The sequence below is a fragment of the Homo sapiens genome, chromosome 11, assembly GCF_000001405.40.
Source record: "Homo sapiens chromosome 11, GRCh38.p14 Primary Assembly".
In the NCBI taxonomy this organism is placed as follows: Eukaryota; Metazoa; Chordata; class Mammalia; order Primates; family Hominidae; genus Homo; species Homo sapiens.
Genome location: NC_000011.10, coordinates 60927433 through 60952303, shown reverse-complemented (window position 1 = coordinate 60952303; position 24871 = coordinate 60927433). Strand labels below are relative to the sequence as shown.

Below are 24871 nucleotides of genomic sequence, written 5' to 3'. Positions count from 1 at the left end.
TTAGAAAGCTGACCGGGCAGGAGCCCTGTGACCCAGGCTTTCACTTCTCCTAAACACCCAGTAGCGCCATGTGATGCAGGCAGGGGACTGCGGATAGGGCCTGTGAAAGGGGAAGCGAGGGGAGCCCAGAGTTTCTCAAGAAGCCGAGAGAGGGACAGAGGCTGAGCCTGGGGGGAGGGCTGCAGGGGACTGAGAGGGGAGTGTAGGCAGTGGGGGTGAGGGGGACAGGGAGGAGGTGGAGAAGACGGCAAGGGGCAGCAGGGTGACTGGGGCAGAGGGAGCCCCCACCCCACGCCCAGGGCAGGCCAGGAGTCATAAGGAGAGGGGACAACAGGAAGGGGCGACAAACGGGGAGGGGAAAGGGAGGCGGAGGGGCAGCGAAGTGAAGCAGGGAGGGTCGCAGTGTGAACAAGAGTGCGAGGAAGGGTCAAGGTGGAGGGAGGAGAGGGGAGAGTTAGGGAGAAACAGCTGCAGGAGAGGCGCGGGGAGGAAGCCTTAGGGGTGGGGGAAGGGAGAGGGGAGTTGAGAATTAGGGAGGAGGTGGTAGAGTCCGGGTAGTGAGCGGAGGGACAGGAAGGGTAGGGCAAGAAAGGGAGAGGGGACAGGAGGGAAGGGTGGGCCAAAGCGGTGAGAAAGGAGGGCCAGCCAGTTGGGTGGGGGAGAGGGCCGAGGCCCGGGGGCAGGAGTGCAGGGCTCTGAGGCGGGGAGAGGAGAGGAGAGAAGAGCCGCGGGGGGCCCAGCCCGGAGCCAGGATGCCCGCGCCGCGCGCCCGGGAGCAGCCCCGCGTGCCCGGGGAGCGCCAGCCGCTGCTGCCTCGCGGTGCGCGGGGCCCTCGACGGTGGCGGCGGGCGGCGGGCGCGGCCGTGCTGCTGGTGGAGATGCTGGAGCGCGCCGCCTTCTTCGGCGTCACCGCCAACCTCGTGCTGTACCTCAACAGCACCAACTTCAACTGGACCGGCGAGCAGGCGACGCGCGCCGCGCTGGTATTCCTGGGCGCCTCCTACCTGCTGGCGCCCGTGGGCGGCTGGCTGGCCGACGTGTACCTGGGCCGCTACCGCGCGGTCGCGCTCAGCCTGCTGCTCTACCTGGCCGCCTCGGGCCTGCTGCCCGCCACCGCCTTCCCCGACGGCCGCAGCTCCTTCTGCGGAGAGATGCCCGCGTCGCCGCTGGGACCTGCCTGCCCCTCGGCCGGCTGCCCGCGCTCCTCGCCCAGCCCCTACTGCGCGCCCGTCCTCTACGCGGGCCTGCTGCTACTCGGCCTGGCCGCCAGCTCCGTCCGGAGCAACCTCACCTCCTTCGGTGCCGACCAGGTGAGTGGCAGGAGGCCTGCCCCGGCATACTCCGGCGGGTGTGGAGGGAAGGAGGGCTGGCCCCCAGCGTGACCTGGGACAAACCAGGTCCCCTGCCTGCACTAGTTTCCTGATTTGAAAGAAGAGGGGGGCTAGCCCTTGCAAAACCGATGGCAACCGCAGTGGGAATAACCATGGTTGTTTTTTTGTTTGTTTTATTTTTTGAGACGGAGTTTCACTCTGTCGCCCAGGCTGCAGTGCAATGGCGCGATCTCAGCGCACTGCAACCTCAGCCTCCCGGGTTCAAGCGATTATCCCTCCTTAGCCTCCAGAGTAGCTGGGATTACAGGGGCCTGCCACCACGCCCAACTAATTTTTGTAATTTTTTTTTTTTTTTAAGTAGAGGTGGGGTTTCACCATGTTGGTCTTGAACTCCTGACCTCAGGTGATCCACCTGCCTAGGCCTCCCAAAGTGCTGGGATTACAGGCATGAGCCACCACGCCAGGCAGGTTGGTCTTTTTTGAGCTACTTGCAGGCCCTATGCTAAGCACTTTCACTGTTTAACTGATTTAATACTCTTCACCACCCAGGAAGTAGGAATTATTATGCCCATTTTACAGAGAAAGACACTGAGAGGTTTCATGGCATTAATCAACTTGCCCAAGGTGACATGGAGGGTCGAGGAGCCGAGTAAAGGCAGCTGGACTCCAGGTCCCACCATGAACCTCCTCTCTGTGTGTTATGGGGATGTGCGGGCAGGGCAGGAGCAAGCCAGCTTCTTCCTACCAGCAGTGCTAGAGGCTGTCAGGCCGACTTGCTCAGATCCCAGCTCTGCCTTTCACTAGCTGGAGCCACATGGGCAAGAACTCATTTATATCCTGAATGGGCTGCCTGGTCTTCTCCCTTAGCTCAACCTCTGAGCCTTTCTCCGTTCCCCCTTGAACAGAGCATGGCACGTAGAAGAAATTTAATAAGTATTTGCTAAATGAATGAGTAAATGCCCAACAACACGGCTATATTTTGATAGCTGTTCCCAGTGGGATATTAGACAATAATTTAGACTAAAATGTAATATTATTAAAATAACCACATATGGTGTAAATGAGCAAAAGCAGGAGGCAGGACTGCATACAGATAGGACTGCAGCCATGTGGAAAGACGAGGTGTCAACGAAAGGAAACTGGAAAAAGATTGTCACAGTGGTATGATCAGGCCACTGGACTAATTGCACTTTCTTCTTGTCTCAGTTTATCAAATGTTCTTTGATTGCACATATTATACTCATAAAGGGGACATTTTTCAAAAGGATCGTTTCATCCAATTGGCACCCACAATTCAGCACCTAGCAGTTTCCAGTGTCCTTGACAAGGAGTCACTTGTCCAGCTTGTTTAGGATCCTTTGATGATGACTTCATGCCCCCAGGCCAGCCCTGGCCATCTCTTTTCTTTCTTTCTTTCTTTCTTTCTTTCTTTCTTTCTTTCTTTCTTTCTTTCTTTCTTTCTTTCTTTCCTTCTTTCTTTCTTTCTTCCTTTCTTTCTCTTTCTCTCTCTCTCTTTCTTTCTCTTTCTTTCTTTCTTTCTTTCTTTCCTTCTTTCTTTCTTTCTTCCTTTCTTTCTCTTTCTCTCTCTCTCTTTCTTTCTCTTTCTTTCCTTCTTTCCTTTCTTTCTTCCTTTCTTTTGACGGAGTCTCGCTCTGTTGCCTACGCTGGAGTGCAGAGGTGCGATCTCAGATCACTGCAACCTCCACCTCCCGGGCTCAAGCAATTCTCCCTGCCTCAGCCTCCCAAGTAGCTGGGATTATAGGTGCCCGCTACCACGCTGGCTAGTTTTTGTATTTTTTTAGGAGAGATGTGGTTTCGCCATGTTGGCCAGGCTGGTCTTGACTCCTGACCTCAGGTGATCCACCTGCCTCAGCCTCCCAAAGTGCTGGGATTACAGGCGTGAGCCACTGCGACCGGCCAGCCCTGACCGTTTCTTACTTCTTGTTGACATTCTTTCTGACCTAGAGACCCCCAATATTTGTCAATGGGAATCTCTCATCTTCCTTTAATCCTATTATTTCATTGACATCCCACTAGCACCCCCAACCCAGTACCCTTAACCTGTGTCATTGACCCTATTGACCTCCAGAGAGCCTCACCCATCTAGTACCCCCTGTGGCAAAACTGATCTTCTGGAGGCCAGGCCACTGAGCAGAGCCTCCCGTGGCATCAACAGGGCCAGAAGCTCCTGTACGTTCTCCCCTTGGCTGGGCACGAACTTTGGGTGGAGCAAAGGCAGGCCACAAGGCCTCATGAAGTCGGGACCTGATCCCTAGGACAGTGCAGAAACACCAAAATGATTTGAGGCAGGAATGGACATCACTGGATTTGAGCTCTTCAAAAATGGCTCCGGCTGCAGTGTAGATAGCATATGGGTTAACAAGAGTGGGTACTTCACAACAGGCAGGAAGCGGCTGCAGAATTCAGGGGGGCAGTCAGATGGGGATGTGGGGGTGGGTGGGACTGGCACCATCTGGCAACAGCTATACCCCAGGAGCTGCGTGTTTCACATACTTGCTGATTTCAGAAAGGGCCATCCATCACTCTCGACAAAGCATCTGCTCATTCTAAAAGAACTCATTTATATCCTGAATGGGCTGCCTGGTCTTCCCCCTTAGAGTTACAATAGTCACATTCATTTACTTCCAATTAATAAATGGAAGTGGCTGCTTCTAATGGGACCTATTCAATTTTCTGCTTGAAAGTCTAGAGCGAGAATTATCAGTGAGCTGGTATGCCCCTCCCTCCCCACTTCCAGGAGGACCCCGCAGAATCTCCAATGGAATGCGGGTTTAAGTGCATCTGTGTGGACTATAATTTTACATTTGAAAAAGGAAAAATAAATACTTGTCTTTTCCCCAATGCAACTACAGAAAGTAAAGTTTGACAAAATCGCCCTAGCTAGTGGAAATATAAATCTCTACTTGAAAGGCAGTAATGGATCCTGAGATTTGCAGGGGCATGGAAAGGGTGACTGGTTTAGCAATGTAGAGAAGTATTTATTCTCTCCATTGAAATGGCCCCTAGTCCTCACTGCTTTTTTTTTAAATGCAGATGCCCAGGTCCTGCCCCAGACCTGCTGAGTCAGAATCTGGGACCTGGGCCTGGGAGATTTGGAAGCAGCTAGTGCAGCTGACTGGAGCCAACAGACCAGAAGGGGCCTGGGGCCTGGCTGTTGCTGATTGATCCAAATTCTGGGTAAAGATTTTCAGCCCATCTGCCCTTGCTGGGAGGCCTGAAAAAAAACGTTTTTTTCACCAGGCCAGAACTCACTCTTGGGGCTGTGCCTGGGACCACCTCTGCTGTATATCAGAGGGACAAAAGTGGGGTGAAAGGATGGGTCACAGTAGGCTTCTCTGCTTGCCTCTCCGAACTGCAGAGGAAATTCTCGCTCAGACTTCTGTTCTTTCGGTAACATGCATACAACATTTTTAATAATGTGCAATAAAACTGAGATCTTATTGGCTTTTTTCTGATTATAAAAGTAATGAATAGGCCGGGCGCGATGGCTCACGCCTGTAATCCCAGAACTTTGGGAGGCCGAGGCGAGCGGATCACGAGGTCAGGAGATCGAGACCATCCTGGCTAACAAGGTGAAACCCCGTCTCTACTAAAAATACAAAAAATTAGCCAGGTGTGGTGGCAGGTGCCTGTAGTCCCAGCTACTCAGGAGGCTGAGGCAGGAGAATGGCATGAACCCGGAAGGTGGAGCTTGCAGTGAGCCGAGATTGTGCCACTGCACTCCAGCCTGGGCAACAGAGCAAGACTGTCTCAAAAAAAAAAAAATAATGAATAGTGTAGGTTGCTCAGTGAAAAACAAAGGGATAAATCAACCAGAAATGAACAAGTCCATCTGAGACATCTGTTGTATGTGTTCCTCTGCGACAATAAAAAAGCAGTGTGTGTCATGGGTATGCAAAAGCAGCTGGGCCAAATGTCCTGATCTTTAGCAAGTGACTCCCAAGAGAAGGATTCATTCATTCACTCAGCAAATATTTACTGAGCATCTGTTTGTGATCAGAGACTGGGAAAGTGTCGGAACGCCCACCACCCACTGACCCAAGAAGTGTCTCTGTAGGAGGGAGGGGTATGGGTACAGAGAGTGCCCCGGACCCCTTTGGCCCTCACTGTCACCCCTTCCTGAATGGCAGGTGATGGATCTCGGCCGCGACGCCACCCGCCGCTTCTTCAACTGGTTTTACTGGAGCATCAACCTGGGTGCTGTGCTGTCGCTGCTGGTGGTGGCGTTTATTCAGCAGAACATCAGCTTCCTGCTGGGCTACAGCATCCCTGTGGGCTGTGTGGGCCTGGCATTTTTCATCTTCCTCTTTGCCACCCCCGTCTTCATCACCAAGCCCCCGATGGGCAGCCAAGTGTCCTCTATGCTTAAGCTCGCTCTCCAAAACTGCTGCCCCCAGCTGTGGCAACGACACTCGGCCAGGTAAGGAGGGGCTCTGGGTGCAGGGAGCCTCCAAGCCTGGAGAAGCGCTGGATCGCTCCCGGGGAGGCATGGTCCAGGTTGCAGACATTCTGGTTCAGCTACAGTGATAGCTTTTTATGATGATCTGCTCTCCAGTGGGCCAGAGCTGCCCGCTGTGACTGAGGATGGAGGTCAAGGTAGTGGTGGTAGTGGTGGTGGTATTATTGGTTGCCATCTACGTACAGAATGTGTGAGGATGGGGCTGGGGGCGGTGGCTATCCCTCTAATTCCAGCACTTTGGGAGGCTGAAGCTGGTGGCTTGCTTGAGCCTGGGAGTTCGAGACCAGCCTGGGCAACATGGTGAAACCTCATCTCTACAAAAAAATACAAAAATTAGTGGGGTGTGGTGGCCTGTGCCTGTGGTCTCAGCTACTTGGGAGGCTGACATAGAAGGATCAATCGAGTCCAGGAGGTTGAGGCTGGAGTGAGCCATGATGGTGCCACTGCACTCCAGCCTGGGTGACAGAACAGGAAAAAAATAAAAAAAGAAAAATGAAAAAAAAGGAAGTGTGAGGATGATCAGGGTCTTGACAGTGAAGATGGTAGTAAGGATAAGGATGATGGTGTTGGTATCTACACTGAAGACACAAACATTGGCAATGCGGATGACAGTGGCATTAAAGGAGAGGATGATGGGGATGATGTTTCCAATGAAGGCTGTTAGGATACAATGTAAATAATTCCACATTACCCTGTTACTAACCATCACAGCGTCTTAGGAAATCGGCCAAACTCGCTCCCTCCTCATTAGCTGACATCCAAAGGAGGAAGGTTCTGAATGACCTTGCATAGGTCCCATGGCTTCCTTTTGCCCCTCGCCTTCCTAAATTAACTGTCTACTTATGCCAAGCAAATCTGTCTCCAGACCTTGCAGCCAGTTACAGCTCCTGTCAATAGGATCTAAATGAAAAAGGTGAAGAACATGCTTTCCCCAGTCTGGCATATTGCTAGAGGTTTGTAAGTTGTCAGGAGCCGAGAAGTGTGGTGGTTTTCATTACCTATCGCTGCCTAACAAACCACACCAGAGCTTAGTGATTTAAATGACCTTTTTATCTCCTCTCCCAGTTCTGAGTGACTGGGCTCAGTCGGGCCGTTCTGCTTCTCGTGATGGCACTGGGGTTGCAGTCATTTGGGACCTGGAAAGGGCTAGAACTTCTGAGTCTGCTCACTTACATGGCTGGCAGTCAATGTGGGCTGTTGGCTGTGAGCTCAGATGGGACTGTGTGGACCAGAGCACCTTGGTTCCCATTCGTGTGGTCTTACCATGTGGCTTGAACTTCTCACAGCGTCGTGTGAGGGTTCCAAGAGGAGGGAGCTTTCCAAGAATGAATGTTCCGGGGAGGAAGAAAGCAGAAGTTATGGGTCTTCTTAAGGTCCTTAAGAGGCGTTGAAGTCCCAGACCACCACTTCTGCTTCATTCTAACAGGTCAAAGCTGTCACAAGGCCAGCAGGGAAACAATGGCAGTGAAAGTAAACTCCACCTGTTGGTGGCAAAATGGCAGCACACGCTGGGAAGGGTGGAGTTGACAGTGGCTGTCTTTGGAGATGACTACACTAATATTGTCCCTTTTGGAATCTCAAAGGACAGTGCAAGGCTCTTGGACAAAAAGAGGTCAGAAAGCTCTCAGGACAAAGGGCAAAGGGCAAAGGGTAAAGGCTGCAGCAGTGATTGATCAATCTTGTCGCCTACTGATATTCCCTCTACCCCCACCTCTCCACTCTCTATGCCTTGTCATGGAGGGAGAGGGTTGCCATGTTGACTGTTGAGGAGGATGGACTTGAGACAGCAAGGGGGGGGAATTTTGGTGTATCAAATCTGTGACAGCGTCTCTCTCTGAGTCAGGCTTGGACTGGGACTCCCCTGGTTCCCGTGGCAAATTGATGCTACGAGCCAAAAAATCCCTTCAGACTGTTTTCCACAGTCTCTGGTCTTACTTCCCTCAGGACTCAGAGGGGCCACAGCTCTAGAGCGGAATGAGTCTTGGCTAGGCACTTTTGCAGCAAAAGAGAGGATAGAATAATATTGGCAGTAGTGGTGCCAACATTGAAAAAGAGTGATGGTGATGTGAATGGAAACCCCGTGGAGAGGACGATTTTGCTGACAGCAGTCACCTTACTAAAGGTGATGATAGTAAGGATGCTGGCCTTGGCGATGGTGGTGATGATGGCGAAGGTGGTGCTAACAGCGGGGTGGAGGAGATGAGGGTACTGATTTCAGAGACGTGCTGATACTGGGAGGAGGATTAAATTAGGGGGTGATGGTAGAAGTGAAAACGTTGGCTGAGGTGGTGGGGAAGATTATGGCTGCTGCGTTTGTTTGTTTGCTTGTTTTTTGAGAGGGAGTCTGGCTCTGTTGCCCAGGCTGAAGTGCAGTGGCACAGTCTTGGCTCACTGCAACATCCGTCTCCCAGGTTCAAGCAATTCTCCTGTCTCAGCCTCCCAAATAACTGGGACTACAGGTGCACGCCAAAACAGCCTGGCTAATTTTTGTATTTTTAGTAGGGACGGAGTTTCATCATCTTGGCCAGGCTGGTCTTGAACTCCTGACCTCAGGTGATCCACCCGCCTCAGCCTCCCAAAGTGCTGGGATTACAGGCATAAGCCACCAAGCCCAGCCTTGACTGTTGTTTTATCTGCTGCCTCTGGGGTCTCACAGAGACCGTCAATGTGCCCGCGTGCTGGCCGACGAGAGGTCTCCCCAGCCAGGGGCTTCCCCGCAAGAGGACATCGCCAACTTCCAGGTGCTGGTGAAGATCTTGCCCGTCATGGTGACCCTGGTGCCCTACTGGATGGTCTACTTCCAGGTGAGCATACCTGCCCTTTTTCTCTGGGGGCCTGGCTCCCCACTCACCATCTGAATGGCCTCATTTCTCATCACAGAGGCCCAGGGCATGTGGAAAGGGGGAAAGTCTGGGAATAAAGTGAGGTGCTGCCCCGTACCAGCTAGCATGGGGCCTGGCACAAAGCCGTCTCAGCAATCCAACTCCCTCGGTGGTACGGCAAGAGGAACTCTGGAGACAGCTTCCTCCTGCTATACCTCCTGCGGGAGTTGAATTACTGGGATGGCTTTGTGCCAGGCTAGGTCCTTGAATAAGTCACCTCATCTCTCTGGGCCTGTTTCCTCATGTGTACAATGGGTGGCTTAAACGAGAGGCTTTTCCAGCTCTGCTGCATTCAGATTGTCCGACTTGGTAGCTGAGGCCTAGAGAGGGTGTGTCAGTTGCCCAAGGCCCCACGGCAGGCAGGTCAGGGGCAAGCTCACAAAAGTGAGTACTTTGCAACAGTGGTTCCCCAGCCTGGCTGTGCTTCAGAATCACCGGCAGAGCTTTTAAAAATATGCTGTTTTAAAAACAGATTCCAAGTCCAACCACAGGCTATTGAATCAGAATTGCTGGGGAAGTTTCTAGTTTAAGAAACTTTTCAGATGATACAGATACTCAGAGTTGAGAACTATTGTCTTCCACTCACCATATTACTCCTCAGTGGGGAGGTTAGTGATGTGTTTGTGTGTGTGTGTGTGTGTGTGTGTGTGTGTGTGTGTGTGTGTGTGTGTGATAGGAGGGTGGGCAGCAGCTTAATGCTAGCCCCCAGGCCATAAGGTCATTGCCTTCCATACCCCCTTCACAGGAACATTTGTTGGAGCTCCCAGCCTGCTACTTAGGGGCACACAGTATTTCTATGATGAGATGGCGGCATGTGGTGGGAGGGTGTCCATGGCTGATTCTCAGTCATACCAATCAGATACTGACTTCCTTCCATACCAGTTGGTAAATGGCTGCTGCCCTGAGCAGTCCACATGCTCTCCCCTGCCCCAGCCCTTCCTGTGGGAGTCTCCTGGATCCTACTCCATTATATAGCAACTAAAGGGGCAGTGCGTGGTATTGGAGGTGGCCCCTGGGCCCTGCTCCTGCAGCTGTGTCCAGAGCCATTCTGGCAAGTCCATGTCTATGCAGTGCTTGTGTCAACCTGTGGACTCAGCTTGGCTTCAGTGTCAGATGAGAACTCCCTGTGGGGGCAGCCATTATCTTTCCCATTTCAGCAAACATTTATCCATGCTTACCCTGTGCTGGGCCCTGGGGACACAAATACTAGTCAGACCAGCTGTGCCTGGGCTCTGGGATAAGGCTGCACGCACTGCCTACAGGCCTGAGAGCAGAGCACAGGAAGCTCCCTGCCCAGCCCAGCTACCTAGGAGAAAGGAGGGTGGGAAGGTGACTATCTCCCTGAGACTGGGAGAGGGGACAGCTGCCCAGCTGTCCTGTGGTACGGCGCTGAGGAATGCCACCTAGGAGTTGGGAGGGGGCATGGCCGTTTCTGTTCCAGCCTCACCCCTGTCTCTCTTGGCAGATGCAGTCCACCTATGTCCTGCAGGGTCTTCACCTCCACATCCCAAACATTTTCCCAGCCAACCCGGCCAACATCTCTGTGGCCCTGAGAGCCCAGGGCAGCAGCTACACGGTGAGAGATAAAGCATGTGTTCGGCACCCAGTTCAGCCAGGTAGCGGCTTCCTCTGAGAAGAGGAGGAAATGAAACTGCCTTCACACTCCCCTTTCCTGCCTGCAAGGCAACCTCAGGATACAGGAAAAGCACCTGGAGGGTGGGAGGACTTGTGTCACAGCGCAGGGATCCTGCCAAGATGCTCAACTGCTTGAAGGAATTCAGGCCAGCTGCACACCCCCATGCTGCTGCTCTGAAGCAGGTCTCGCTGCCTAATTTGCACCCTCAGATCAAGCATACTTAGGTCCCTTTTCAACTCTTCCTTGTCCCCTCTTTCTCTGGGACCCTTAGATACCTAGATCTCTGCCTTTCCCAGAACTTTCTAAACCAGTTCCTTGGCATTTCAGACTCATGAAATGAATGATCTGCAGAGCTGGCAGATATATGAGAAATTTGCCATTGTAGTCCATTTCCTTGCCCATGGCAGACATCACTAGTCAATCATGACTTTTTTTATGCTGAGCCCATAAATGTTCCATAATCAGCCACTACCAATTGATAAAAGTTAGAATACAAGAGGAACCTATTTGCCATCTCTACATAATCCCACTCCCTGGTTACACAGCTGAGGAGCATGAACTCCAGAGAGGGAAAGGAGCTGGACCCCAGGGTCACCCAGGGCCAGTCTAGAGTCCAGGTCTCCTGACTGCAGCCAGGCTCCTTGCACTCTGCTAGCCTGCCTCTCCTGACTTCCTCCTGCCCAGATCCCGGAAGCCTGGCTCCTCCTGGCCAATGTTGTGGTGGTGCTGATTCTGGTCCCTCTGAAGGACCGCTTGATCGACCCTTTACTGCTGCGGTGCAAGCTGCTTCCCTCTGCTCTGCAGAAGATGGCGCTGGGGATGTTCTTTGGTTTTACCTCCGTCATTGTGGCAGGTGTGCAGAGGGGTGTGGGGCAGGGGGCTGAACTTTGGGCTTGGGGAAGTCTGCTTCCACCATGGGCTGATGCTGAAGTGGTAGCCTGGACCAAGTTCAGCCTCTCCCAGTGGGCGTCAGTGTTGGCTTCCCAGAGGTGCAAGCTGAAAGAGACCCTCCTATCTAATCCAGCTGCCCCTCATTTTGACAGAAGAAGAAACTCAGGCCGAGAGAGGAACAAATATTTTCCCCCAGTGAATTATCAGCTCCTTGAAGGCAGAGATAGTTTTTCTTTTTTTATTCACTGCTATGAACATGCACGTGGGCCCTCCATAAATGTGTTGAATGAATTTTCCACTTAGTGGCAAATGAAGACTTAAAAAAAAATTATCTTCCTTCTTCCATTTCAAAAGGATCTGAAGCCATTTGTTACAAAGTGGGGGTTGGTGGGGGCAGTGGGGGGGATCAGCTAAAGAAGTCTTTCACACTGTTGCACAAACCTGAACCCTTTTTACTTAGTAACTTTATGACCCTGAAGTTCCTTAGAGTCTCTGAGCTATGTCTTTAAAATGGGGACAGGTGTCATTCGGACCCTGAGCAGGGCTCTGCCCTTGTGGAACTCAGTCTGATGGGGGGTGTTGTGAGGATTACAGCAGATGAAGTCTGTAAAGCACTCAGTAGTGTGCCTGGATCACAAGTATGAGCTGGAGAAATGAAAGCTCCATAAACGGTATTGTGTTGAAAGTGTGAAAACCCAACTAGATTTTATTCCAGCTATATCCTTAAAGCAGTTTGTCCTATTTTATCCTCACAATAATCCTGGGAATGTTATTCCTGCTTCTTGAGTAAGGGAACTGAGTCTAGAGAGGTTAAGTGATTTGCCCAAGGTCACACAGCTAGCCAGGCTGGGAACCCAGGTCCCCCAACTCCATGTCCAATGTTCATTCCACTAGAGCACAGCTATCTCCCAAGCAACACAGGAGAAGGAGATAACATAGTTAAACTTGAAAGCCAGGTTAGAAACACTACAGCAATACTTGACGTTGCAGTAGAGAAGTCATGTGATATCATGGAAAGTAGGCCAGCTTTGAAACCAGACATACCAGAGCTCAAATCCAGCCCTGACTACTTATCAGCTGTGTGACTGTGGGCTAGTTGCTTAACTTTCTAGTTAAGCACTTGAAAGTGCTAGTTATTTCACTTTCTTCCGCAGCAAGGATGCATGGTAAATGCCTAGCACATAACAGGTTCTCCATTAATGAGAGTTGTTAGTGTTATTGAGTGCAAAACTCAGCTTGGAGCTTCTAGCAGCCAAGACCAAAAGGGAGGAGTTGGTCACATCTTGGCCCCCTCCTCCACCCCCCAGTCCAGCATTCTTTTCCTTGCCTGCTGCTCAATCTTTGGCTGCTTCATGAGTACCCCATCCCCACCATGTACAAGCTCTTCTGTGGGCTAAGCTGCCTGGGGTGGGCCTGACTATAATCCCCCTCTGCTCCTCCACCAGGAGTCCTGGAGATGGAGCGCTTACACTACATCCACCACAACGAGACCGTGTCCCAGCAGATTGGGGAGGTCCTGTACAACGCGGCACCACTGTCCATCTGGTGGCAGATCCCTCAGTACCTGCTCATTGGGATCAGTGAGATCTTTGCCAGCATCCCAGGTACCCTGGATCCCCTCCCCTGCTCCTGCACCAGTGATGGGCTCTGCCCGGTGGCACCTCAAAGTCAGGTACCCCAGGGATGCAGCCCCCAGGGCCCATCTGCATGGAGGAAGGCAGTGTTTTCTGACCAGGGCTCATTCACCCAACGGGGGTCTATAATTAGCACCTGGTTCAAGTCAGCCCCTATGTGACAGGCACTGGGGATTTGGAGGCGAGCAAGAAACTTCCCACACCAGCTCTCCACGTATTCCCCTGGTGCCAGGTTCTCCACCCTCTGTGTCTTTGAAGTTGCTGTTCCCTCTACCTTAGACTGAAGGTGAACTCCAATATCCCCTTCAATTCTGAGCCTAAATACCAAGGTCCTTGGGCAGAAGGGGTCCTCCCTTCCCGCCCCGTGTTCATCTCTCTATCATAGCACACAGTACTCTGGGTCATAGTAATGGATTTCTATGTCCTTCGCTCCCCACCCTCCCAACCCCCTTCCCCGGGCTGGGAGCTAGAGCTGCAAGGCTGGGGCAGGCCCTTCAGTCAGCAAAAAAGCAAGGGCTTCCTCAGCTGCGGGCCCAGGGCTAGGCTGGGTCAGACATAAAGAAAAGACTGACCCTGGGAGCTCACTCAGATGGGGAGAGAGTCAGGCAAACAGTGAGCCAGTGGAGTGCTGTGGAAGTCAGGGCAGAGTGCAGTGGGAGCCCTTAAGCATGGAGAGGAGGCGGGCAGGTGAGTGGGTAGGAGGAGCGGTCTTACAGGCAGAGGGAACAGCATAAGCAAAGGCCCAAGCCTTTGGGAAGCGTGGGGGATAGGGCTGGAGAGGCATGGGAGGTGCAGGGAGCCGAAGTGTCGAAGGGCTTTGTGCGCTGAGCCTGCACCTTGGGATTTCTCCTGAAGGCAACAGCGCCCCTCCTCTCCAGGGGGTTTTGGCCGGGAAAGGACCCCATCCGAGGTCCTTTAGACTGATGCTCCTGGCTGTGTGAGGAGGACAGGAGTCAGGGGAGTTTAAGAGGCATTTGCAGAAAGTGACCAGGGCTGGGGTTGGACCCAGGGCAGAGGGAATAGAGAGAAGGACATATATTTAGAATAGATTTCAGAGGCTGTATCAAAACAATTTGACGATGACGTTGAAGGTGGGCAGAGAGGGTGGGGAGAGAGAGGAGGTAAAGATGGTGCTGTCACTGAAATGATAGACCTGGCAGGAAGGGGAGGAGGGGAGACAGAGCTATTGGGGCAGCGCATGGAGTACCCCGGTGCAGGGGTTCAGCCAGGAGGCAGGTGAGCAGGGCAGAGGGGAAGGCGGCATTGATGCATGGGTGCTGTCATTGCCACTGAGTGGACAGGCATCCAGGGGAAGCCTGGAGGGTGGCTTGGTGGGGGCAGGGTCAGGGGCAGCAAGCAGGGGCCTGGGCCTGTTCTCTGCGCCTGCACCAGCCCCTGAGATCGTCTCTGCTCCCCCTCTGCAGGCCTGGAGTTTGCCTACTCAGAGGCCCCGCGCTCCATGCAGGGCGCCATCATGGGCATCTTCTTCTGCCTGTCGGGGGTGGGCTCACTGTTGGGCTCCAGCCTAGTGGCACTGCTGTCCTTGCCCGGGGGCTGGCTGCACTGCCCCAAGGACTTTGGTGAGTATGGGGCCTCCCCAGGAGTGGGACATGGATGGAGGGAGGCTTGGAAAGGAGGTGGCAACTGCTAAAGTGCTTTGACTCTGGGGAGAAGCAAGTAGAGGGCTAGACTTGGGAGAATGGGGTTCTAGCCCGGGCTTGGCCAGTCACCCACAGCGTGGCCTCCCTCCTTGGGCCTTTCTTTCCCCAAGTGTTGAACTTAGTGGACCTCCAAGGCTCCTTTCTGCTTCTGGAACTCTGCCATCTCTGGCTGAAGGGTTACCTTTCTCATGGTGTTTATATTTCACGCCCCCTTCTGAATAGCTGAAGAGGAATTGTAGACACCCCTGGAGATCTTCAGGAAGTCAAACATTAGTGGGTATCTGTCCAGTGTCTTCAGATCCCACCACTGCCCACATGGCCTCAGTTGCCAGCCCCAGGGCTAGGACACGGCAGGCACAGGGCGCAAGACAGAGGATCCCTGTCCTGACCCAAATCTAACCCCTCCTTTCCCCAGGGAACATCAACAATTGCCGGATGGACCTCTACTTCTTCCTGCTGGCTGGCATTCAGGCCGTCACGGCTCTCCTATTTGTCTGGATCGCTGGACGCTATGAGAGGGCGTCCCAGGGCCCAGCCTCCCACAGCCGTTTCAGCAGGGACAGGGGCTGAACAGGCCCTATTCCAGCCCCCTTGCTTCACTCTACCGGACAGACGGCAGCAGTCCCAGCTCTGGTTTCCTTCTCGGTTTATTCTGTTAGAATGAAATGGTTCCCATAAATAAGGGGCATGAGCCCTTCCTCACGACCATGGTCCATGACAAGGGGCAGGGCAGAGGGGGCCTGGATGGGAGTCCTTGTGGGGGACCAGGCAGGGGACTTGGATCAACAAGCACCAGACGAGTGGCGGGGGCAGGCGAGAGGCTCAGTGGGACCTCCACCCTCGTTGCCCCAGCTGGTGGCTGACCAGGTGGCTGTGGAGGGTCAGGAGCTGCCCCGGATCCTCTCCATGTAGTTGCGAAGCTCCTCAGGGTCCTTCAGCCCCATGTCCTCACACACCCAGCGGATGTCCTCCTCGCCTGCCACAAGGATGGACTGCACAGCAGGGGCCCCTACAGGCTCCTCAGGTGACTGGGCTGGAGGGGCTGGCGCAAATGTCACAAACTCTACTCGCTTCCGCCGCCCCCCAGCCTCCTTTCGGGCCAGGGTGCTTGAGGAGCTGGTGGTGCCCCCAGGAGGGCCAGGGGCCAGGGTAGGGGCCTCCCCTCCTCCCCCACTCTCACAGGGGCAGCTCCCCTCCCCCTTGGGCGGGCCAGGGGACTGCCGGTCCAGCTGGCGGCTCAGTTCCTCCTGGTCAGTGCCCAGCCAGACCCAGTTGTGGGGCTGGGGGGAGGTGGGGTCAGTGGCACTGTCGGGAGGTTCTTTGCGCTGATAGCGCAGGACGAAGACCACACCATTGACCAAGAAGATGAAGATGGCCACGCAGAAGACTCCCAGCAGGGCGTACATGCCCAGCTCTAGCTCAGTGACATGCTGAGGGGCAGGGACCATCTCCTCCTCCTCTTCCTCCTCCTCCTCCCTGGCTTCGGTCTCCTCCTTCCTGGCCTCCTCCTCTGCCCGCTCAAACTTGCCCCTCACACCTGTGTTGCCCCCGACACTGCCTGCCACCTGCCGTTTACCACCCATGGTGGCTTCTGTGGCTGGTGGGCTCCAAGCAGGGCTGGATGGGAGAGCAGGGGCTGGAGTGGAGGCAGGGGGCAGCCCCAGCCAGGCGGTGCCAGAGGCCAGAGGCACACGGTGGCGGCCCCGGCGGCAGGGCTCGGGCGGGTGCAGAGCCACATGCAGCGGCAGCCCCTCGGCGCCTGCCCCACTCACCACCACCCCGAGCTGGGCACCCTGCTCCTCAGCTGGCAGGATGGCACCAGGCTCCTCGGCTGAGACGGACAGTCCCAGGTCACGGCGGTCGTAGAGCTCAGCTGGGGCCACAGTGTGATCAGAGAAGGACAGCCATAGGGAGAGGGCCACCTCCTGTGGGGCACACAGACACAGGCAGAGACATGCGAGGGCACGCACGCATGCACAGAGAAACCACTCCCACAGAGATAGGCCACATGGAGGAGAGACCAGAGAGAAAACAGAGACACAGGCAGATAGACAAAACACAGGGAGAGAGGGGACGCGTGTCAATCACCTGTCTGCCACTCAGCCCTAGGGTCTGAGTTATTGGGAGGGTCCTCAGTTAGAGCCATCTAACCAACCTCCCACTGCCATACTCCAGCCACTGCTTGATCACCTCCAGCTGCAGAGAGCTCACTACCTCACAGAGTCAGTCCTCACTCTGAAAACCCTAAGGGGTCGAGGTACCAGGGTCCCTTCCTCCCATTCCCCTCTACCATGAGCCCCCATCTGGAGATGTTGACCTCATCCCCCTGACCCCCCAACTGTCACCTGCTTTGGGGCGGGAAGGGCTGACTGTGCCCAGCACGTAGCTGTGACCTCCCCGGGGTGGGCAGTGCCCCGGCTCAAGGTCAGCGAGATGCCCATCACTGGCTGCACCCTCAGCTCCAGCACTGAGACCTTGTCGTCCGTCACAGCCAGCGCCTGCTCCCCCAGGATGGAGTCAGACAGTGGGGAACGCACCTGAGGGTGGAAAGGAGCTGGAGGTGGGGGGCCTTCCATACAGACAGCCCCCACCCAGAGGGAACCGGGTGCTCCCAGCACCCTCACGGGCTGCCCTCCGGAGGTGGGGGAGGTCTTCGCCACGGACAGCCCCCACCCAGAGGGAACCGGGTACTCCCAGCAGGCTCATGGGCTACTATCCCTCTACTCTTTGCACCCCGGTGCATACCTGGACCCCAATCCCACACCTAGGGGGCAGTTCCCTTTTCCCTCAAGACCCGGTCCCCACACTACCCACACCTCAGCCCTTCATAGCTAGAGGGCTTCCCCCCTTATGCGGCCACCCCATTCTGAGCCTATCCCCAATCCCACTGCACTCAGACCTAGACCGCACAACTCCCCCACACACTCTGGGCTCCTGGCACACTCTTCACTCCCACCCACGAACATTTTGGGGGCCCCTCCACCCTTCTCAGGGGGTCTACTCTCCTGGTCCCCAGCTGCTTACCTCAATGGAGGTGACACCGGGCTCCCGGCCCACCACGACACGGCCACCCTCCAGAGAGGCTACACGCGAGTCCAGCACGCGGGCGTGTGGCGCCACGAGGTGGGACACGTCTAGCAGCCAGTCGGGGCCAAGCAGGTGCGTGAGGCGGCGGCCGCCGTCCAGCGGGTGGGCCGCGAAGGGGGCGAGGAAGCGCACACCGGCCCGCTGGTACTGCAGGTGGCAGCCACGGGCGCGCCGCTCGGCCTCATCCGACGCCTCTGCAGCGGGTTCCGCAGGCCTGCAGGGCGGGGAGGCCGGGACTGGCCGTCAGCGCTGAGCGGCCCCAGCCTGCCCAGGGCCCAGCTGCTGGAGACCCGCAGCTCGTCCCCGGCGGCTCCTAATCACCAGCAGCTCCTGTTTCTCAAACGCAGACATCCGCCCCTCTTGGGGTCAGGCCCTTCCACCTGCAGGCGAGCCGCCCCAGCCCACTCCCGACTGGCGCTGTGCCTCGATCACCGCTCTTGCTCCCAAGTGGACCGCAGGGGAGACGCTCTCTTACGGGGACCCTGGGGGCGCTCACTCTCTGAAGGGCCTGGAAGCTAGATTCCAGAGGCGTGGGCCACCTCTCCCTGGGTTTTGGGGAGCCCCCTCCGAGGGTGTTCATTTCCTGAGCTCTGTGTCATCTTAGGCTCTGAGGGTACGACCAGCATAGACAGACCGCAGCTTCAAGGGGCTGACATTCTCGGGGGAGGAGCGTGGAAAGGATGGACAGGCAACATTAACCAGTACTGACGTAGATTAGGAAGTGGAGGGTGCTACGGGAGAAGTGAGGCAGGGAAGGAGGAGAGGGATGCGGAAGTCAGCAATTTCACAGAAAGCGATCATTGGCTGGGCGGCCCAGGGTGGAGGTGGGCAGAAGGAACTGCAAGCAACAGGGCAGTTTTTCTGACCCCGACTTGGGCCCATGGCTGTGTCCCCTGCGCCCTCTCCGTCCCAGTGTGACTCGCCAAGGCCTGCCAGCTTCCTCAGGCCTCCACTCACCCTTCAGCAGGGCCAGGTACCCTCCAGCCGCGGACCTGCTCGAGGGTGGTGTCGGTGAGCTCGATACGCAGCGGTAGCAGGGGGGCCCACACGGTCAGCCGCAGCGAGGCGCGGAGCCGGCGCCACCAGAAGTCCACTCGCACCCCCCGGGCGCCCCGGCTCTCCTTGCCAGCCACGAACACGGCATCACAGGCCTCAGACACCTATGGAAGGGCAGAGGGCAGGTGGGCGGGCTAAGCCACTAAAGACAGGTGTGAGGCTGGGCCGGGTGGGTGGCTCATGCCTGTAGTCCCAGCACTCTGAGAGGCCGAGGTGGGTGGATCGCTTGAGTCCAGGAGTTTGAGACCAGCCTGGGCAACATGGCAAAACTCCCTCTCTACAAAAAATACAATAAATCAGCCGGGTGTGGTGGCACATGCCTGTAGTCCTAGCTACTGGGGAGGCTGAGGTGGGAGGATCCCTTGAGCCTGGGTAGCTGAGACTGCAGTGAGCCGGACTGTACCATTGCACTCCAGCCTGGGGACAGAGTGAGACTCTGTTTCAAAATAAATAGATTAAAAAAAAAAAAAAGGCATGGGCCAGAAGAGAGCAGCCCTGACCTCAGGCCGTAGGACGGGCTCCCACTGAGTTCAGCTCTGTGTGTCACTGGAATGCATGTTGCAGCAGGATTGTTGGTTAAGCCCCTGTTCTTTGTTTAAGATTTTACTGTAGGGGCCATTCCTTGAGGTTCCCTGGGGCTCAGTCAGGGGAACTGGCCATTGCATACCAGTCTTCCTCCTGGCAGAGCAGGGGTGTGAACCCAAAACTTTGGCTCCTTATTCATGCTGGCCTTTGACATTGCTCTTGGAGCCACCTGGCAACCAGCTACAGCCAGGTAGGCAGAGGTGGGACAAAGCAGATCTCCCACCAAGGCCCTCCAGCAGGAACCACACACATTTGAGCAAAGGACCACAAGTGGGGAAAGGCACCTTCCCCCTTCAGGTGGCTGGGATTTGCATACATGCAGACTCCATGCTTCCCCTCTTAGAACTTCAAGATAGAGGAAGTTGCTCTACCACCCTCCCTTTTATTTCACTTCACAATCACCGGTAATAATAATAATAATAATTTTTACCATTGTATAATTATTACATCATATTATAACAGCAATAACTGCCATTGTTTCAGCCCCTGCTATCTGCTAAATACTGTCTTAAAGTGCTTTTAATTCTTACAACAACCCGAAGATATGTTCTCATTTTAAAGTTTAGGTAACGAGGCTCAGAGAGGTTAAGAGACCAGCCCATGATCACAAAGCTGGTTGACAACAAAGATGTGTTTCAAACTAAAACTTTCTGATCCCAGAGTATGTGCTCTCGACTCTCTCAGGCCAGCGCACTTGCCAGTGCAATAATGAGCGTGAAAGTGTCTAAGGTCGGGGGGCTGTTAGGGTTACTTGACTCGGGAGAGAGGTGGCTGGAACAAAAGAAGTTGAAGCTGTGGTTCCTCCCATGAGGTTTCTCGTCTCAAGAAGAAGCTGTTCTCTTGGGGACCCACATGAGGAAGGAGGAAAGGTGTGTGTGCGTAACTGTGCCCACACAAATGCAGACTCACATGAGCTGGGCACCTGCCACTCACCTGCAGGACCTGTGTGTTGGCAGACTCGCAGCCGACATGCTCTGTCACCTCCACCAAGGCCCCCCCGCCGTCCACAGTGACAAGGCGCACGGGGACATGCTGGGGCACTCCAGTCAGTGGTGCTGTATTCACCAGCTCCTCAGCCTGGGGGTGGAGGAGGGGCTCAGCCCCAGGCCCCTCAGCTCATGGGGCTCCTGGGACTTGGCCTCCAGCCTTCCCAGGCAGAGATGGAGGTCTCCTTACCTTGGCCAGTGGGATAAGGGCTCTGATGTCCCGCTCAGACACCAGGATTTCCCACACCATTTTGTCCTTCTCTGCTTCAGGGGCCTGGCCTGGGTACTCCAGCTGCCACGTGACGGGGCGAGTGACCGCTACGCCCCCACCAGTGCTATTCTCCACCACAAAGTCCACCCATAGGAACTCAGACAGTTCAAGGGGACTGCTGGCCAAAGGAGACAGAGAAGCCAAATGCTTGCTAGCTGCCAGGCATGGCCTCAGCACTTCCTGCATTCATGATTATCCCCATTTTACACAGGAGGAAACTGAGGCACAGAGGTTACATAGCTCACTTAAGACCACACAGCAAAAAGTAGCGGGGCTGGGATCTAAACCCAAGCATCCTCGCTCTAGACCCCAAACTCTGACCCACTCTTGGCCTCTCTAAGATCCATGAAGCCATTTAACCACCTCCCACCTGGCAAGGTGGCTCACTCCCCTGCCTGCCCGGGCCCGCTTCCCCCAGACTTCCGCTTTCCACAGCCACTGAGGTGGCATGCGGGAGATTCACTTCCAGGTCCCAGGACCAGACACTTGACCCTCTGAATGATAAGCTTCCTTTGATCAAACAAAAACCTATGTGCTGGGAACCGTCCTGGGTGCCTGATATGTAGCACTGTATTTTATTTTCAAAAATGCTAAGGGATGCATTATTATTCCTATTTCACAAGTGAAGAAACTGAGGCTTGGGTAGGGGAATGTTAACTGGCTTGCCCAAGGTTTTGCCCATCCCAAAAGCATCAGAACCAGAATTCGAACTGGGGCTACTGAGTCCATGGCCTTGACCCAGGCTCAGGGCATGAATAAGAAGAGTTCACAACCGCAGAACTGCAGCTGGGCTTTTTGGGGGAATGTGAACGGCCCAGAGAAAGGATCATTTGGTGGAAGCAGGGGGATGGAGTAGTGGCTATGAGGGCTCTACCTGGGGCACAGGATTGGTTGGCATCTCTTAGAATAAGACTCACAGACACTTGCTATGCCTGGCACATGGCTGGGGCTGGGAAGATAGTGGCCGAATGAATGAATGAAGGAATGGATTATGCCTGCTTTGTGCTGCTTCCTTGAAAAAATCTGTCCTTGGGTCTGCTCACCTGGGGATCTAGAGGCAGCATGGCAGCCTCCAAATCTGCTCAACTGCACTCTATAACCAGCCCTCCCTCCTTTGCCCCCTGGGTGGAGGGAAACTGCCCACCTGGAATCTGGCTCTGTGAGCCCAGCACGGTGGCAGGTGATGAGGGTGGTGTGGTGCCTGGAGCCCTTGAAGCGGTCCAGCTTGGCAGTCCAGAGTGTGGGCTGGGCTGGGCGGGCGGCTGTCACATGCAGCCCCTTCTTCACCTTGATCCTGGGGAAGAGAGTATAGGCTCAGTTTGGCAAGGTGCATGCTGAACTGTGGGCTGGATTGAAGGGGAAAGACAAGGAGCCAAAGCCATCTGACCTCCCTGGCTCCAGTCTGAATCTCCTCTTCACCATCCTCCAACCCAGAAGGACCCCGCCTCAGTGCAGCTCACACCTTACAGCTCTCCCCCACCCAAAGACCACTTACGCCTCCCCACTGCCCATAAGGTCAAAGCTTAGCCGGGCATTTGGGGGCCCTCCAGGGTCTGGTCCAGCCTTAACTTCGGTTGTGACATCTCTCCATGCACTCTCTGCTTCAGCTACACACAAGTTTCCCACACACACGGCACCCATTCGTGACTCCAAGCCTTTGCCCAGTCTGTGCCTTCAGCCTGCTCTGCCCTTTCTTACTTTACCTGCTGATGCTTTAAGCCTCCAACAACTCACAGACCATTTCCTTTAGAAAGCTTTTCCAGTGGTGGGATGAATTTCCCCCTTACTGCACCCACTCACCTGAGCTCCCACCGCACTTTGAACCTCCCTCAGTGCTTACACACCCACATGCCTTCTAATCCAATTCATGCCCATCCAGCTCCCTTCCCTACCACTGGGGCCCCTTTCTGCCAGATAGGGACTGGCCCTTGCTCGTGTTTGGATCTGCAGAGTGAAGACACAGGGCTTGGCAGGCTGTAAGTGTCTAGGAAAGATCTGCTTAATAAGAGTGAGCATAGGAGGGCGTAGGAGATGGGGAGACACAGAGACGGGACATGCACAAACCCAGGCAGGGCTTGAAACTAGGTCTAGGTTTCAAAGCATGTCCACAGACCGCTCTTCGATCCTCAGGAAAGATATCATTACAAAGTGAGCAAGTCCCAGTGCCTCACCCTAACCAAGCCCAGGACTATCCTGCCTAGAACTCAGGCTTCTCAGAATCTTAAAGCCTAAGAGATGCCTCTCCCATGGATTCCTGCGCTGGACTCCAGAAGCAAGTCATACTCTGCAAGCCCTTGCCGGGTGAACTGGGTAGGTGGGTGGGGGCTGCTTTGGGGGAACTTATTACGGAAAAGGACACAAAGAATCAGGGCCTTCCTATGGGGAAGAGCAAGCTCTGTCCAAAGGCTAGACTCCTACGGCGAGGGTGGCAAGGAGGGACAGCATGTAGGTGAACGTGATTGGGGCAAATATCCCTCTCTGGAGCACTGGAGCAAGAGCTCACACTTAGGTACTGCAGTCTCTAAGCCCTTTGCGGGTTCCCCTCCCTGGAGACTTGCAGCTGCCCTGAAGGTGGACCGTTAGCCCCATTGGACAAAGGAATCTCAGGGAGGTGCCAGGGGAAGGGGCAGCTTCCTACTTCTGACTCTAATTCCAGGGCTGTGCCCATGGTGGGCTCCTACCAGCACAGTCATGGCTTTTTACCTGGAAGGAGTTTAGTTTGGTGGACACATGTTTTGCAGAGGTCAAGGATTCCAGCAAGGACCCCAGGAGGAGCAGGTACCTGTCCCTAGTCTTCCCACAGAGGTTCCCACCCTCACCCATCCCCGTGGCCTGGTGCTCACCGCAGGGTCAGGAGGCTGGCTGTGAAGTTGTGCCGAAGCAGGAGGGTAGCACTAAAGAGCTGGCCGGGCCGCACTGGCATGTCAGGCACCCGCAGAGTCACAGCCTCGTCCAGAGGTACCTCCTGGTACTGCGGGGGGTCTGCTGGGCGCAGCTCCACACCCCCCACTGGGAGGGCCTGCTCCCCAGGGTCGTTCTCCTCGCCGGAGCCACAGCCCCCAGGGCCCTCAGCTGCAGGCTCAAGCGTGTAGGCCAGCTCGGCCCGTGTGGTGGAGGCCTGTGAGAACCAGTGCGAGGGAAGCTCCAGCTCCACCACGCAGGCGCCCAGGGATGGCTGTGAAGACACGACAGCAGTAATTGGCATGGGGGTGGGTGCAGGGCGAGGAACAGGATTCTCAGCACCCATGGCAGGAAACCCAGAGCTGGAGGGGCTCATGAAAGGGAGGCCCAGCATGGGCCGGAGACACAGCCTGAGTGACACAGCAAACCAGCAACCTGGCTGGGGCTTCAAACCAGGTCTAGGTTTCAGAGCATGTCCGCAGACCACTCTTCAGCCCTTGGGATAGGTCTCATTACAAAGTAAGCCAATCCCAGGGCCTTACCCTAACCAAGCCCAGGACTATCCTGCCTAGAATCCAGTCTTCTTCTCAGAATCCTAAAGCTCAAGAGACGCCTCTCCCATGGATTCCTGTGCTAGACTCCAAAATAGTGGAAATAGCAATTATAAAAGTAACACTACTAATAATGCAAACACACTGGCTGATTGATTACTCTGCCGTAAGCTATCCTTACATTCATCTCACTTGTTCCTTACTCCAACTCCAGATGGGGTAGGAATTCTTAACACCCCATTCTTCAGATGAGGAAACTGAATCTCAGAGAGATTAAGTTACTTACTCAAAGTCACACACCAAGGACTGAACTCCCTCTGGGGCCCTAAATAACCTTTTCACAGCACTGAAAGCTAGTGGGGGCAGAAATGGAGTCGGGTGGTCCACAACCCCCGCGCTTCCCAGGAGTGGGGGTTTCCTCTCTGCCGCGGGCCCACCACCTGGCTGATGCAGCTGCAGCAGGACCAGCCTAGGTGGGGCCTGTCTACTCACCTGGAAGCGGCAGGCTTGGTGAGCAGTGCCGGCAGGGTGTGTGGCATGGAGCCGGGCACAGGGCAGGCTGCCAGACCCTGGTGGCCAATCCTGCCCTTTGAGGTGGAAGAGAACCCGGGCGTAGGGCTCTGCTGGAGTCACAGCCGCTTCCACTGAAACGGCCCGCACGTCCCATGGGACTGGCCGTTGGTGGGGCTCAGTGACTCGAGGGGGGACCACCTGGAGGGAGAATGAGAGGGCTTAACAAAAGAGGAGCTTGGGAGGGGAAGATCTAGGAAGATGGGATCCCAGCTTGGCAGAAGAGAACCTTTATGGGCCTCAGTTTCCCCCTCTGGAATATGGGGAGCACAGCCGGGGCTGGGGAAGGCTCCCAATTTGTACCCAGCAGACCTCAGGCCCTGAGTCCTGTTAGCCTGAGAGTCCCCGG

General features: G+C 55.1%; 2 protein-coding genes across 8 annotated transcripts in view, besides 4 other annotated features; one reads left to right on the top strand and one right to left on the bottom strand.

The window, feature by feature from the left end:
* On the top strand, positions 128 to 15220 carry SLC15A3 (solute carrier family 15 member 3). 4 transcript variants are annotated; one of them, XM_011545095.3, is made up of 9 exons: positions 128 to 1310; positions 5483 to 5772; positions 8468 to 8615; positions 10159 to 10269; positions 11014 to 11182; positions 12666 to 12824; positions 14279 to 14434; positions 14738 to 14788; positions 14931 to 15220. In XM_011545095.3, exons 1-8 carry the CDS (start codon positions 753 to 755, stop codon positions 14752 to 14754), a joined length of 1608 nt encoding a protein of 535 aa, XP_011543397.1. In that variant the 5' UTR covers positions 128 to 752; the 3' UTR covers positions 14755 to 14788; positions 14931 to 15220. The 4 variants fall into 4 exon arrangements, 2 of the variants coding, with proteins under 2 accessions (XP_011543397.1, NP_057666.1); NM_016582.3 differs by lacking the exon at positions 14738 to 14788; NR_027391.2 differs by lacking the exons at positions 11014 to 11182; positions 14738 to 14788.
* Positions 136 to 365: a silencer, noted in NCBI's record as "silent region_3382". NCBI's record gives its function as "represses an Ori minimal core promoter by ATAC-STARR-seq in GM12878 lymphoblastoid cells {active_cell/tissue: GM12878}" and the evidence as "EXISTENCE:reporter gene assay evidence [ECO:0000049][PMID:35858748]".
* Positions 686 to 845: a silencer, noted in NCBI's record as "silent region_3381". NCBI's record gives its function as "represses an Ori minimal core promoter by ATAC-STARR-seq in GM12878 lymphoblastoid cells {active_cell/tissue: GM12878}" and the evidence as "EXISTENCE:reporter gene assay evidence [ECO:0000049][PMID:35858748]".
* Positions 7093 to 7142: an enhancer, noted in NCBI's record as "active region_4786". NCBI's record gives its function as "activates an Ori minimal core promoter by ATAC-STARR-seq in GM12878 lymphoblastoid cells {active_cell/tissue: GM12878}" and the evidence as "EXISTENCE:reporter gene assay evidence [ECO:0000049][PMID:35858748]".
* Positions 15145 to 24871, bottom strand: part of TMEM132A (transmembrane protein 132A) — a 12700-nt gene continuing 2973 nt past the window's right edge. For 2 of the 4 annotated variants that reach the window (XM_017017951.3, NM_017870.4), the window contains 9 exons: positions 24445 to 24663; positions 23344 to 23675; positions 21645 to 21794; positions 20420 to 20618; positions 20177 to 20320; positions 18560 to 18762; positions 17540 to 17816; positions 16861 to 17052; positions 15145 to 16440 (listed from right to left, as the gene is read on the bottom strand). In XM_017017951.3, the coding sequence (XP_016873440.1) occupies positions 15397 to 16440; positions 16861 to 17052; positions 17540 to 17816; positions 18560 to 18762; positions 20177 to 20320; positions 20420 to 20618; positions 21645 to 21794; positions 23344 to 23675; positions 24445 to 24663 (2760 nt within the window). In that variant the 3' untranslated portion in view covers positions 15145 to 15396. The remainder of the gene's footprint in view (positions 16441 to 16860; positions 17053 to 17539; positions 17817 to 18559; positions 18763 to 20176; positions 20321 to 20419; positions 20619 to 21644; positions 21795 to 23343; positions 23676 to 24444; positions 24664 to 24871) is intronic. The other 2 variants (XM_017017952.3, NM_178031.3) reach the window with 1 other exon arrangement.
* Positions 16131 to 16280: a silencer, noted in NCBI's record as "silent region_3380". NCBI's record gives its function as "represses an Ori minimal core promoter by ATAC-STARR-seq in GM12878 lymphoblastoid cells {active_cell/tissue: GM12878}" and the evidence as "EXISTENCE:reporter gene assay evidence [ECO:0000049][PMID:35858748]".